General features: G+C 39.4%; 1 protein-coding gene across 8 annotated transcripts in view, besides 1 other annotated feature; it reads left to right on the top strand.

Annotated features, from left to right (window-relative positions):
• MED13L (mediator complex subunit 13L) overlaps positions 1-15,513 on the top strand; it is a 319,118-nt gene extending 303,605 nt beyond the window's left edge. For all 8 annotated transcript variants that reach the window (XM_047428608.1, XM_017019090.2, NM_015335.5 and 5 more), the window contains 6 exons: positions 1,853-2,011; positions 3,319-3,495; positions 4,992-5,149; positions 7,846-8,007; positions 10,570-10,682; positions 12,691-15,513. In XM_047428608.1, coding sequence (XP_047284564.1) covers positions 1,853-2,011; positions 3,319-3,495; positions 4,992-5,149; positions 7,846-8,007; positions 10,570-10,682; positions 12,691-12,823 — 902 coding nt within the window. In that variant the 3' untranslated portion in view covers positions 12,824-15,513. The remainder of the gene's footprint in view (positions 1-1,852; positions 2,012-3,318; positions 3,496-4,991; positions 5,150-7,845; positions 8,008-10,569; positions 10,683-12,690) is intronic.
• Positions 12,014-12,513: an enhancer, noted in NCBI's record as "H3K4me1 hESC enhancer chr12:116399381-116399880 (GRCh37/hg19 assembly coordinates)". NCBI's record gives its function as "activates a minimal SCP1, AML or CMV promoter by ChIP-STARR-seq in primed H9 embryonic stem cells {active_cell/tissue: H9 hESC(primed)}" and the evidence as "EXISTENCE:reporter gene assay evidence [ECO:0000049][PMID:30033119]".

The raw sequence follows: 15,754 nt of genomic DNA, 5'->3' as shown, positions 1-15,754 counted from the left end.
TCATAGTTTGCTGGTCCCTGCATTAGACCATGTACTTTTTTTTTTTATAGGAAATTCACATCAGGTATTTGTAGAATCCCTAAACAAAAATCACTGGTACAGATATAACTTGCACTGTAGGAATGCCTAAGTGTACCTCGCTTCCTACAATGCAGGTTAAATCTGGTATCAAATTTTCAGGGTTTAACAGCAGTTTATATAAATATTACATCATATGTATTAAGTAAATGTTTTCTTTGGCATTTACAAATTTTTTAAGTAATAAGTTGTACTGTAGACTAATAGACCCTTTTCATTTTTTAAAGGAATATCATAATGAATCTTGTATCAAGAGCCTGGAGGTCTAATACATTAGGGGATTCATCATTTTATTTCTGTCAGAATTTTCTATCTTCCTCCCCAGTCTGCTTTTTTAGTCAATCTTATTTCTTAAAGGCTTTGAGCTATTCTTAACCCTTGGGGAAAGTTAGACTATAATAGGAAAGAAGAGGGAGGATAAAAATATAGAGTAATAGTCTAGTCACTTGGTATTTTGGAAAATTATTAAGGCCATCTCCTTCCTTTGTATGATTTTTGTAAGGGCACATTCTTCTTCCTTATCTCTTAGTGGAGAGGAATGTGTGACTGGAGGAGCCCATCAAAAGATTGAAAGAAAATGTATGTTCAGGAATAAAAACACAGGAAGAACCTAGTGTACAGGAAATCTGTTTACTAATCTACAGCTCCTTCCTTTGAGGAGCCAAGATCTGTGCCACATTGCATCTCCATGGGACAGTGTATGACAGGAGCCTTAGGTTTCAGAGTCAGCTTTGTGAATTTCTGTTTCTTATCTCCAGAGTCTTTATGATGAAATACACACTGCCTTTTCTTTCGTACTTGGTTTGAAATATGAAGCTCACATCTGTGATTTCCCATAGTTTTAAAACAAACATTCTTCATGTTCCTGGCCACTTTTATTTCAGCCACTTCAGTTTGGGGTTCATTGGGAATATGGAAACAGTTTTCCATTCACTTGCTCTTTAAGGGGAGAAATGGCAGCTTATTTGGGGGAAAAAAAGTGTGGAGGTAGAGCAGCCTGCACTGGTGTGGCATTTTATGAGCAAGATGGGATCCGAAAGCAGGGGTGATGCATAGGAATGGCGCATACTTCGTGTGTGTAAGGGAGGTCAGAAGAGGGGACCAAGTGCTTTCCACTTCTCAGAGTAACATAATCCTCCACAGTGCTCCAGTTAGGTATAATGCTTTTGTTTGGAGGCAATAAACATTAGAAAGGAAATTTATGCCAACATTTCAATCTCCACTATTAGTATGGCATCATTTGGAGCACTTCACTCACACTCGTTGTGAGCTCTTTTGGGTGTTCTAAGAACTATTTCTCTTCATTTCTGCTGCTGTTTGACTTTCATGGAAATAACTAACCTACAACAATAAACAAAACTCAGGTTTACCTCCACCTGCCAGTGCTTTCCTCCAGAGCAGAGTACTGAAAGAATCGGACCTTGAGAAGGAGGAGAAAGGATAGGGCAGCTAACACTGCTGTCATCATGGAAAAGCACTCTAAGTGCCTAAATCTGGTCTAGGTAGATTAGACTGGATTAGTGCTGGACTCTCAAAGGTCATTTCAGACATGACTTCAGCCACAGAATAGTAGGCCTTTGTTCCTTTGTTAATGAAGTGTAATAGAAGTCGAGTAACATTCTCTATAGCAAGGAGGGGAACATATGTAAAGCCATAATTCCCTTTAGGGCCCAACCTTGGAAATTCAATTACCGGGCAGAACTGCTAAAAAGCTCAAATCTCCCATCAGTATGAATTTCTAAAGACTGTGTATGACTGCGATATTTGATTTCAGATTGGAGTATCCTCCTTGGAGAATGTTCACTACAGACAATCAGCAAAAAGCTCAAGGATGTGTGCCGGATGTGTGGAATCTCTGCCGCAGACTCTCCTTCTATCCTTAGTGCCTGCCTGGTTGCCATGGAGCCCCAGGGGTCCTTTGTAGTGATGCCAGGTAAATTTCTTCTTGTCATTGTCATTAATTACATATCACATCAATTCAGTCCACTCAAACTTAAGTCCGCAGACAAGGGTAGAATTGTCTTCATTATATTTCTATAAGGGAAGATTGTATTTGGGGCTTAAAGATGGAAAACATTCGATACCTTCCATGCGGAGTGGTTTGTGATTTTATCATGTTTGTTGACCATAGCTCGGGGGAGAGACTAAGTTCTGAATATCATTGAGATCTCATAGAGTCATGGCTAATGACTGTTACCTGACCCCAGTTTGTTGTTAGTATATGAAGATCACCCTCCAAAGAACTATGAAAGTAGACACCAGAATGATGCATATTTGAATATCCTTTTGAAGACATGCATTTGGCAGAATCTCTCAGCAGCCTCGAAGGGATATTTCTATAGTCTCTCTGATACGGTTGAAGATGAATGGGAAGGCAAACAAGGATAAAGCAGTTAGCACAGTACCTGGTACACAGTAAGCTCTCAATAGATGTAGGTGTCATTTGTGGATGGCCAAAACGTGGCCACAGAATTTCTTAAGAATCTGGCTGGTTTTTGAAAACCAGTAACTGAGCGATTTTATATTTTTATAACCTATCTTTACCATCCAGATATTTCTTGAATCAAATGGGGGACCTTCCCCACTTATTCCTTATAAAAGTCAACAGTATTGTGGTGTGAGAATGGGGTTACTTGTCATCAATCCAGTGAGAGACAGATGTCCTCATTAGACTATAGGTTACCTCTGTTGCCGCTACCACTTGGGCAGTTACGTAACTTCTTTGTGCTTTTGTCCTCATCTATAAATGGGGATCATAGTTCCTACCTTCAGATGCTGTGATGATCAAATGCGATGACTTGAATGAAGAGTTTAGCACAAATGCTGGCATGTAGTAAGCATTCATTAAGTGTTATAACATGTATTGATTTTATGGTCCTATCTCTATAGGATTGTTAACCGTTTAGAACAGTACTTTATAAATTGTGAACAACCAGAGGAGGAAAGAAAGTAGGGTGTTTATTTTTAGAAATACTTCTTACGTAAGTAATTAAAACATTTAGTGGACTTGGTCCAATTTTATCTTAACCTTTTCAGTATGAAATGAAACTTGGGTTATTATAGACAGCTATGTGCTCTGAGTCAGTTTCTTTGAAGATATTTAAACAATTGGACTCAATTTTGAATGTGTATTTATCATGGCATTTTCATCAGACTCATACCACTCCAGATCAGGCCCTCTGAAAACCTCATTTCTGGGGTTGTTCATTGATTGATATAATTCTATTTTTTTCTTTAAAGATGCTGTCACAATGGGCTCTGTTTTTGGCCGAAGTACTGCACTGAACATGCAGTCATCTCAGCTCAACACCCCTCAAGATGCTTCTTGTACACACATCTTGGTGTTCCCAACATCATCAACCATCCAGGTGGCTCCAGCCAACTACCCCAATGAAGATGGGTTTAGCCCCAACAATGGTGAGTAGAAGACCTGTATGGATAGTGCTCACCTTCATGCAGGGCAGAGCCGGAGTATGGAATCACTGGGCTGCCGCATGGCTTTTCTGTGTTGTAATAAACAACCCAGGAACTATAAAGAGGGGATAGAAGGTTTGAGAATCTATTTGGTCTTAAAGCTTTGATTTATCTGCACAATTAACAAGACCAAATAAATATTTTCCTTGTTTGGGCAATTAACTTTCTTCCATTTTTCATTAAAGGCAAAAAATAATACCTGCGTGGCACTGTTCTGTACTTAGGTGCCACTCTTTCAATAAATATTTGCTGATGTGATTTGAAATGTGTGAAGTACTAAGCAATATGAAGAGAGCACCTTCCTTTAGCTAGTCTATGGCAATCTAATTTGCTATAGAGAAACCCTTATTTGATTATTCTTAATGGAAATTTTTGAATAGCTGTTAAGGTATTTGTTTAAAAAAATGATTATTTATAAACTATAAAACACTCAACACAGCATCCATTTGCATTGTTTTTGAAGAAATTATAACACCTACCAGTGTTTATTTATGGTAAATGGGATGAGGAAAAGGATACCAAATTTTATATCTGGTATGATTACAATAGAATAACAAATATATGAGAAAATAAAAGAATCATAGAAAAAAATGATCATGGTGATTGGGTTCTAGGTGATGGTTTTCACTTTTTATACTTTTCTTTACAAATTTTCTGCTGTGAGTGTACCTTACTTTTATAATGTTGGGGAGGATTTCTTAATGAAAATGCTGGGCCAGGCACGGTGGCTTATGCCTGTAATCCTAGCACTTTGGGAGGCTGAGGCAGGCGGATCCCTTGAGGTCAGGAATTTGAGACTAGCCTGGCCAACGTGGTGAAACCCCATCTCTATGAAAAATACAAAAATTAGCCAGAAATCACTTGAACCCAGGAGGCAGAGGTTGCAGTGAGCCGAGATCGTGCCACTGCACTCCAGCCTGGGCAACAGAGGGAGACTCCATCTCAAAAAAAAAAAAAGAGAGAAAACATTGTGCTTTGATTTGCTTTTGGAATAGGTCTCCATTTTCAGGGCAAGTTCACACTCATTAACATGCATTCATTCAGCCTCTGGTGTTTTAGATGCTAAGTGGATACATAGATGGAGTCTACTGTGTTTTTGAATGGTGTCAATTTTAATGATTAAATTGTTGCTTTAGCTCTTTTACCATACTTTTATGTGTCTTTGGAGGCTATGCAGAGTGTAGGTTTTTATGTTATATTCTTTATTGCATTCTGTTAATACTGTACATAAGGAGATCATTGGAGAGAGTACAAAATGAAAGAATAATTTGTAATAGCTTGCACTCAGTAGGTCCTAACTGAATCTAAGTTATTAACAGTGTGTGTCCATAATAGCCATATGCCAACAAAACATGACATAGGTTAGGTTGGATTATTATGATATTGATATGTGGACTATCTTTTTAATTTTTGTGCTTTTTTTCCCCCCTTCCCTCTAGATGATATGTTTGTTGACCTTCCATTCCCAGATGATATGGACAATGATATTGGCATATTAATGACTGGGAACCTCCATTCCTCTCCCAACTCTTCCCCAGTACCCTCCCCAGGCTCTCCTTCTGGAATTGGTGTGGGCTCTCACTTCCAGCATAGTCGGGTAAGGATGATTTGGAGTACGTTGTTTAAGACAACCATAGCCTTTAGGAAGATAATCCACTGGACATCTGATCATCTTGTTCCTACTTGCACAGTTCTTGATGGTCTGGGTCCTTGGTACAAGAGAAATAAGTGTGGGAAACTGACTATGGTTCCATTTTGAATAGAAGGCAGGAATTTGAAATAAATATGTTATTATTTCTGATGAATAAGTTTTATCAGAAGAATAGTCCTATTACAGATGCAAGGGTTTTTAATGCATTGTTTTCTTAGCAAAAATTAGTTCTAGTTGCTTGCTGCTTCCCAGTTTTTTAATGGTTTTATTTTTTGCCAAAATAGTGGCTTTTAAGAGATTAGTACAACAACCGTACTTACTCAACATGCAGAGTAATTGTGCTGATTGAAGAACACGTTGGTGATGGCTTGTTCTGAAAGGAGCCTGCCGTGCTCTTTGCGTGTCCTGGCTTAGTCATTTTGCAGCCTTCTTCTTTCTAGCCGACCTGCAGGAATGGCAAGAGCCGCCAGGAGATTGATTTTACAGATGTGTCCAGGTTAACGCCAGAGTATTAAGGAAAAAACCAGAGCTTACAACTGGTTTCATCTTTAAATATCTCAGGGATATTGGAGGTGGATGAACAACAGAAGATTTAAGAGTTAGAGGGTTCTGCCACAGCTTGTGGTAACTTTGCTTCAGTTAGATGATTCCTGCTGCATCACTGTATTGTACTGTTTATTTAAAATGTTATGAGACTGGGGAGTTAAGACTTTGAAAAATAGCTATGTCTGGTATCTTAGACTGAACAAGCATAAGCAGCCTGCTCACACTCATTTATTTAGACACAAAGATGGACATAAAGGACTTCAGTTTTCATCGGGGGGGGGGGGGGACTTTTATTCCCAGCACTGAATTTATTAGACGCTGGAGAGAAAAAAGGTTTATAGCTTAGATTAGTCACAGAGCAGGTAAGACCAGAGGAGGGCATCTCAGACTGTTCCCATGTTATACCTGCCCCTATTACCCTCTTCTGGAAGGAAGGGGTTTTAAGGGTCTTTGTTTCCTTTGCAGTACTTACCAGTTAATGATAATTTGTTCATGGGAAACGGTTGTGATAGGAACGAAAAACACAAATGTTACATTGTCTATTTTTTTAAAGTTGGGTTTAATTTGAATTCTGGAGGCAAGTAGCATAGCAGCTAAGAATGCATGCCCCACAGTCTGTTAAAGACAACTTTGAATTGCAGCTCTGGGCCTACGGGCTTTGTGACCTTGGACAAGCTAACTTCACCTCTCTTAGCCTGAGTTACCTTATCTGTGAAATGGAATAATAGCAACTACCTCCCAGTACCTGTTTTTGTAATTCAGTTTATGCATTAACAAAGAATTGGTTATTGAAGTTGTAATGTTAGTTGTGTAAGAAACAGAGGTATGCTGTATTTCTCCCTTTTTTTGGAGCCTTAAGCACTAAAGTCTTTAATTCAATGCCATGATTTAGACAGTGCTGTTCTGAAGCTAGCCAGGTGGCCTTTTTCAATCCTGAGCACCTGCAGCCAGGTGACCTCCAAGAGGCTTTCAGCATTTCCTTTTTCTGAACCATTAAACATTCTTTGATATCCAGTTAAGACATTACAGCAGGGAAGAGAATGCGTTCAAAGTGGCAGTAAATTTTTTATTTTTTTAACCAACTCAGAATTGATACAGTTTGATGTAGTAGCTGCAGATTATTTTTTCCTTCCAAACAGAAGGTTTTTTTTTTTTTTTTTTTTTTTTTTGAGACAGAGTCTCACTCTGTTGCTCAAGCTAGAGTGCAGTGGCATGATCTTGGCTCACTGCAACCTTTGCCTCCTGGGTTCAAGGGATTCTCCTGCCTCAGCCTCCTGAGTAGCTGGGATTACAGGCGTGCACTACTGTGCCTGGCTAATTTTTGTATTTTTAGTAGAGTGGGGTTTCACCATGTTCGCCAGGCAGGTCTCGAAATTCTGACCTCAAGTGATCTGTCCGCCTCAGCCTCACAAAGTGCTGGGATTACAGGTGTGAGCCACCGCACCCAGCATAAACAGAGACTTTTAAAAACAAATGCATTACTTATTGCTTGCATGAAAGGTACATTTTCAATTGATGAAGCTAGCTAAAAGAATTAAAAGATAAGAAAAGTGTCAGTTGCAGCAAAACATAGCCTCTTCCAGGAGTCTCTTATTAAGGGGAATGCTGCAAATGAAAACATGGCTTCTCTGTGAGCAGATCTTGCACTACTGGCAGCTCAGGAACTTTTGTGCTGTGCACATACTGGTGTCACATTGTCCTGGTCAGGCTGGTGCGCTTGTGTGTCTTTGGCTGGTTGCTGGTGAAAGAGCACCTGCGTGTGGTAGAGCCTTCTGCTGTCAGAGATTGTAATCTTTCCATTTTAGTTTGTTACATCATAATGCCATGAAATAGATCTTACATCCCTTAGAAAAGAAACCCAAGCAAATAAATCTGTACTTACTTGACTGAGGCTGTCAGTTTTGCTGGTATCTTCTCTATGTGTGCAGCAAAGACGATGCTGGCCCCGCTTACCTTTCTCAGTCACCTGTTGTTTTCTGTGAGATGCTGCCACAAAGGGGATCACTCACTGCAGTGTGCAGAGTGAACTGATGAAAGTTCATTTTTCAAGCTTTAAGATAAATGCTGATCATGTTTTTGGGATTTTTGTTTTTCAGAGCCAGGGTGAGCGTCTTCTTTCTAGAGAAGCACCAGAGGAGCTAAAGCAGCAGCCCCTGGCCCTTGGGTATTTTGTATCAACTGCCAAAGCTGAGAATCTTCCCCAGTGGTTTTGGTCATCGTGTCCCCAGGCTCAAAACCAGTGCCCTCTCTTCTTAAAGGTTGGTTTGGTGTCATATTAGAAGTTTGCAAGGAATGAGTGATTTACGCTTAAATTTAATTTTGGTTAGAAATTTCAGTTTTAGTCACCATAATCTTATTCTGTTCCTTTTTTCTCTTGTATCTACTTATACTCTGAGGAAATTTTAATTACAGTTGTAGGTGGAGAGTAGAATTTAGGAGGACCCAAAACCATGTCACAAAGAAATGAATCACTGTAGCCCAAGGAGGAAACAGTGGGGCCCAGAGGGTAAATCTAGGATGGATGCATGGGGTTCAATGTGATGGTCTTTCTCCAAGTCTATATTGCATCACTATCAGTAAAGTTAAGCCTGTGTCGAAGGTATAATAACCAGCCATCCTCTTCTTCCCCTGCCAGGGACTCTTCACATTCTTCATTAGAGAAGAGTAAGAGTCAGCTAAAAACATCGCACATTTACACTTGCTCCTTCCTTTATATTTCTTGGAACCTTTTAATCCCAATTTTAAGGGTTCAAAACAAAAGATCCCCTACTTGCAGTTTATGTTAAAAACAGCAATACCTAGAATGAAATCCATCTCTTGCCCACAGATTGGCAAAAATACAAAGATTTGGCAGCATACTGTGTTGGCCAGATGTGGGGAGCAGGCCCTGGTGTTGGTGGGATTGCTGAATGATATAGCCCTACACACTTCCCTTTCAGGGCAGCAATCCCACCTCTAAGGAATAGCCCAAAGGTTCTTTGCCAAAACAGAAAATGACATATGTCCAAGACTAGAAAGAACCTAAGTGTCATCAGTGAGGGACTGATTGAATCAACTGTGGTGCATCCAGACAGTGAAATATTAATCATCTACAACAAAATGGAGACCATTTCTATGTAATCATTCTGTGGAGTAGAGATTACCATGGAGTAATCTATAAGATATGCACATTCACACACATATACACGTACACACATAGCTGTGTATATTTTCAGAAAGAAACGATGGAAATTAAACCAAAAACTTATTAGACAGTGAAGCAATGTTCTTTTCCTAATGACTTTAACATACTATTATAAAATCAAAGAAGGTTTATAAAAATGCATGTGTTCTTTATTTTGAATTAGAATTATCAATATGAGCATAGATTTATTTTTCCTCTCTAAAAAAGTATACACATTTTTTTAGCTCTGTCTGCTGAAAAAGCTTAGCAGCAATAAACACCTCTGTTGCCACGAATGTGGTTCCTGCACACCGTTGTCATTTAAAGGAACTGTGGTTCTTTGAAGAGATGACTGATTCCAGATATGCAGCAGGAAATATTCACAATGAACCTGAGGCATCTTGTCACACCTAAAAGGAAGAAAGTTACCAAAGATTATTATGGTCCAGCAGGGCCTCAGGAGCCATCTTAGGGGGCAGCTCTGTTGTCCAGGGATAGGATGGGACAGTGTGATCATTAAAAAAAATGATGACAGTGATAGAATGAAACAAATCCTTGGTTCATAATTGTGTTGGAAAACAAACAAAAAATCAGTCATCATTTGTTGCTAGAGCATCAACTCAGTCTGAAAAATAAAAAAATAAAGAGAAAGAAGCATTTATATGTTGCCTCTCCTTTACATGTAAAGTAATACCAAAACCATTAGGTGAAAAGTTGATGAGGAACTTTATGATGGATGTAGTGTCCTGGTATCACCTGAACCCAGTGATGAATCATGTGACTTCAAGTGGGACAGTAGACATTTCATGCCTTTAATCATTTGTCATGTACAGATCATGTTGGCTCATGATTTTAGTAAACCAATTATAAAAAGACATTTTTGAGATAATGGAGCATTATCTTCCTCATTATCCTACAGATGGGGTGATAATATTAAGGAATCATTGTTAATTTTTCTGTGATAATTACTGTTATGTTTAAAGGTCCTTATGTGAGACATCTACTGACTTTTTACAAGCAAAATAATACAATATTTGTTTTTTTGTGGGGAGGGTTTTTTGGGGGTTGGTTTGTTTGTTTCTTTTTTTTGGAGACAGAGTCTTGCTCTGTTGCCCAGGCTGGAGCACAGTGGTGCAATCACAGCTCACTGCATCCTCATCCTCCCAGGCTCAAGCAATCTTCCAGCTTCAGCCTTCTGAGTAGCTGGGACTACAGGCACACACCACCATGCCCAGCTATTTTTTTTTAATGTTTTATAGAGATGGTAATATTTGTGTTTAATTCAGAAAAAGAAAATGAAAACAGAAAAGTGGTGAATATTGATAATTGTTGCATCTTGGCGATATCAATTCATGGGACCTTATTATATATTATAGTATTTTTGTGTGTGCTAGACTATTTCCATTGAAGAAACAAAATGTAGTAGACAAAAAAAGCCCAAAAAGTTTGCTTTTTTTTTGTTTTTTTCCAACTCTAGGATAAGAAGTTATTTGGGATTACCTTGGGGGTTACTGAGCAGGTTAAAATTTGTAGACTCACAGAAACCCTGACTTCTACGGACTTTTGGGAGCATCTGCTTCTGGCAGACATGGCCTCCCTCACTTCTGCACTGTGATTGTCTAGACCAGAGAGGTAACTCTCTTTGTTTTTTCACCAGGCTTCGCTGCATCACCACATTTCAGTAGCACAGACAGACGAACTTCTGCCTGCCAGGAATTCTCAGCGGGTTCCACACCCTCTTGACTCCAAAACCACGTCGGATGTTTTAAGGTAGATACCAACCTAGGCATCATAGCAGTGCAATTTGAAACAATATTCCTTTACTGTTGTCTTTCCAAGGTGTTTTAATCTAAGTGTGGTATTCATAGAAGCTGCCGTTTGTGCAGTGATACAGTATCTGATGAGTCAGTGAGAGCTGCAGTCCCTCATAGCTGCATGGGACAGGCGGTGTAATACATTGGATTCAGTTAGGCAGTGATAGGCATTTATAGTTGCCTTTGCTTCCTGTTCAGAGCAGGCACTTCATGGTGATGAAGAGAGGTCAGATCTTGGGGGTGGATAGTTAGAAGACAGTGTCTGGAACTCTTAAAGCACCTCACATTGAAAACACTTTTTATGCTTCCTGAGATAGATTATGTATTTTTGTTTGTTTATTCGAGATGGAGTCTCGCTCTGTCACCCAGGCTGGAGTGCAGAGGCGTGATCTCAGCTCACTGCAAACTCCGCCTCCTGGGTTCATGCCATTCTCCTGCCTCAGCCTCCCAAGTAGCTGGGACTACAGGCACCCGCCAGAATGCCCGGCTAATTTTTTGTATTTTTAGTAGAGACGGGATTTCACCGTGTTAGCCAGGATGATCTCGATCTGACCTCATGATCTGCCTGCCTCAGCCTCCCAGAGTGCTGAGATTACAGGCATGAGCCACCGATTATGTGTTTTTTTAAAAATGGACTAGAACATAAATGACATAGTTGAGAAGTGCATTCCAGAAGTGTGTATTAATCAAGCCACAGGCATTCTTCATCTACCTTGAGAAAATATACAGGCCTTTTCTAATGTTTTCTAACTCTTAAATGGTTAGGAAATGATAGGAAACTATATATTATAGATTAATGTATAATTATAGTTATGGATAAAAATAAAGAACCTGATCAACATAAATTTGGCTTCCAGGCCCCCTAGAGCAGGGGTCCCCAACCCCCGTCCATGCCTTGTTAGGAACCAGGCCCCACAGCATGCGGTAAGTAGCAAGTGAGCGAGCATTACAGCCTGTGCTCCGCCTCCTGTCAGGCAATGACATTAGATTCTCATAGGGGCACAAACCCTATTGTGAACCGCACATGCAAGGGATCTAGGTTGTGTACTCTTTATGAGACTCCTAATGATTTAAGGTGGAACAGTTTCATCCTGAAACCATCCCCCACCACGTGGAAAAATTGTCTTCCACGAAACTGGTCCCTGGTGCCAAAAAAGGTTGGAGACTGCTGCCCTAGAGGAACACTGTCCAATAGAAATACAATGTGAACCTCAAATCTAATTAAAATTTTTCTGTTAGCCACATTAAAATAGTAAAAAGAAACTGGTTAATTTTAGTAATATATTTTATTTAACTCAATATACTCAAAATGTTATTTCAACATGTAACAATATAAAAATATTCATGAAATATTTTACATACTTTTCTTTTTTTCGTTTTCTTTTTCTTTTTTTTTTGGAGACGGAGTCCTGCTCTGTCACCCAGGCTGGAGTGCAGTGGCATGATCTCACTGCAACCTCCGCCCACAGGTTCAAGCAATTCTCCTGCCTCAGCCTCCCAAGTAGCTGGGATTACAGGCATGCACCACCACGCCTGACTAATTTTTGTATTTTTAATAGAGATGGGGTTTCACCATGTTGGCCACCTGGTCTTGAACTCCTGACCTCAGGTGATCCACCCCCACCTCGGCCTCCCAAAGTTGCTGGGATTCCAGGCGTGAGCCACTGCACCTGGCCCCTAAGTGTTTGGGCTCCAGTGCCTACTTTACCTGCAGTCCACGCAAGTTCCTACTGGCCTCACTGGCGGAGCTCAATGGCCATGTGTGGCTGCTGGCTACTGTACTGGATAGTCCATATCTAGAAGGAAGGAGGAACATGAGACAAAGGATGAGGGAAAGAGCCTGGGGCAAGTTAAGGAATGCCTTTGAGACCTCCTTCCTGCTAAGATCTGGAATGTATTAGAATCTGAGAACCAGCCTTCCCTCTTGAGGCTCACGCCCCTGCTCTGTGTGTTCTCTTTGGCAGGTTTGTTTTGGAGCAGTACAACGCTCTGTCCTGGCTCACGTGCAATCCGGCCACCCAGGACCGTACTTCCTGCCTTCCCGTCCACTTTGTGGTGCTCACTCAGTTGTACAATGCCATCATGAATATACTTTAATTGGAAAAGCACTTGTTCTCTCTGGCTCAGTTCCTTCTCCCTGCAACCTCAGTCCAAGGAACCTGCTACACTCTGCAAATAACCCACATCCTTTTCTTCAGACCACTCTCCACAGTCCTGCACTGTGATTCCTTCTCAGCAGGCACATGTCAATTCTGCAGTGTTCATTACCAGAGTGACTCCTTGACACTTCTCTCATGGACCTGGAAACTTCCATAAGTGGTGACTTTCAGCCAGTGCGGTGGTGTGTGTAGCCCCAACCACTGGTCCCCAGGAAGTGGTGGTGGTTGATGGCTTTTCAGCGGGAAACAGAAGAGACAGTGTCCTTTTGCACAAGAGTCTGTGTTTTCAGCCTCTGTATACAATTGAGGGCAGTCTAGCCCTTTGGATGAAATCCTCTTAGTTACTGGTGTATGGCCTGTGGGTTACCTGAACTCCATAATCTGGGACTTTTTAAAAATAAGAACCAGCTCAAGTACATGGTTTCATACTGGGGTTTCTGTCTCCCTAGTGTTCCCATCCAGATTAGCATGAGTGCTTTGGTTGACTTCAAACCTGTGTGTCAATGCAGAAGGTCTGGAGACAGCTTCATTTTGTTTATTTATTTTAATTTGTTTTGTCATATGGTTTTTGTGACTTTATTTTTTTAATTCACAAGGACCAGGTACAGTAGCTGAAACCCAATTCAGATCCACCATAGGATTCTTTGACTACATACCTCTGTCCTAGAAGCCGGAAAAGGAGTAAAAACACATTGGGGAGATCATGCCTAAAAGTAATATATTCAAAACCACCCAGCAGTAGGTTTTGTTAACAACAAACTGGATTTTAAAAGTTCTGCCATGTTAAGTGGCCAGCATTTCATGAAGGATAACATTTTTATACAGAAGGCAGTCAAGCTCAACTCAGAGCCATGGAGGCAAGTACCTTAATTAGTTTTATATAGTCACAACGGAAATATATTTTCTAGTGAATTCTTATTGGAAGCCAGGTCTCTCCTCTCATTAGATCAAAAGGGACTTATGTACATACAACAATTGAAAGTGTTTGCTCATGAAATCAGTTATAAATATGGTGAATTTTTTCTGGACCATAGGAATATTATTTCAAAGAAATATTACAACTTAACCATTAAATTAGTACTTGAAGTTGAGCCTTTGTGGTGGGACTTTTTAAAAAAATGCCTTTTTAAAGCATTAATGGCTAATTGAAGTATTTTATGACTCCTCATTCCTGGCCCAGAGGGTTGTCTTTGAAACCCTGTTTCTAACCCTTGTGTTGTGTGTTTCTGTCTGAGGACAGTGGGTGTGTACTGGCCTCCCGGGAGCCACTGTGACCAGGCCTTTGAGCTCTTGTCATCTGTGGAGAGAATCATGCAAATTTTAAAAGTTCTTCCAAGAGACTTCCATGTCCTGGTTATTAACAAAAAAGGAAAAATGTAATAATTGATATGATTTTGTAAAAGTATTTTTCTTGAAATAATCTAAAGTTTAAAACATTATATTAAAAAAAAAGTTGTGTGGTGGGAATGTGAAAGCAGAGAAATAACTTGTAAATGGATAATTTTGTTCTCTGTACCACCAGTTGAAGGGGGGGTTGACTTTCGCAATGTATAGGATAAAAAATCTGATATATCAAACCATTTGTATCTAATGTGTACAGTGTAAAATTGACTTTAAAAATATTGCAGTGCTATTTTTTCTTAATCAGAAAGGAAAATTCTCAAGGCCTTTTGAAGAGCATAAGAAGATGAAGATTGTAAACTTGTATAAAATTATCTTGGTGAGAAGACAAATTGTAAAGTAGATATTTGTAATCTTTTACCACTTTGGGGTTGCTTTTTTCCCGGAATTCATCAGAACTTTGAATTTTTTTTTTAAATGGGCTGTTTTTAATGCAGGGGCTTTTCTTCCCTAGAAACCCAATTCTAAGCAGAAAAAGAAAAAAAACACAAAAAATAAAAAACCCCTACAAAAAAACTTTAAAAAAAATGGCAGCAAAGGGTAGTTTTCATCTGGTGTCTTTTATTTAAGTTTTTTAAGTTAAGAAAAGCTGGTGACATATTTATACGTTTTTGTGCAAAAATAAATGAATGGCAATAGATTTTAAAAAATCTTATTATGTACTTCTGTGTGAAAAAGTCTGTATAATATTTCCCTTAAATATGCATTATTTTACTTGTGAGTTTTTTACTGAATTAATCTGAAATGTACAAGCCCTGGATTTGCTACAGAGTGAGAAGTTATTTTATTTTTTTTTATTTTTAATTTTGGAAATTCTGCAGAAATCAGAACTCTTACCATGGTTTGAACAAAAAAAGGGGAAATGGGGAGGGGAAAAGGGTGGGATTGTCCAGCATGCTTGTATGTATATTTCAGAACCTTTTTTAAATGTAAAAGCTGTACATTTCTGGGAAGTTCTGAATTTCTTTTGTTTCCTTTTTTCCTTCAAGCATTTTGCAGTGAGCTTCTTTTATATATAGCAAACAATTTGAAAGAATACAAAAATATGTGAAGTTCATTTAAAAAAATAACTACAGTATAGCGCTGGTACAGTACACTAAAAGACTTTGATAAAAAGAAACAATAATAAAAGGCCTCCATTTTAAATGTCATTCATATATACCTTGTGGATGAGAGCTATATACTTTTACACACTTTTTTAGAGGAATAAATTATTGAATTACTGAAGCTTTGAGTGGCTTTTTTCCCTTCCTCTCCTGCCTTTGTATAAAATTATCTACACCTGTTTGAGAGGTGCATGTATATGTATTGAATAGCCCTAGATTAGTAGCCAGGCCTCTACCTTCCAGTCAGTGCAATGGATGTAGAATTTTACCACCCTGATCACCCCCCTAACAGCTGTTCTGAAATGGTATTCTCATGCTCCAGGGCACAAGTACACTCCCCCATCAGTTTTTACATGCTAACA

The sequence above is a fragment of the Homo sapiens genome, chromosome 12 (assembly GCF_000001405.40).
Source record: "Homo sapiens chromosome 12, GRCh38.p14 Primary Assembly".
Lineage (NCBI taxonomy): Eukaryota > Metazoa > Chordata > Mammalia > Primates > Hominidae > Homo > Homo sapiens.
Note: the sequence above shows the minus strand (reverse complement) of the source record. Positions and strands in the feature narration are given on the sequence as shown.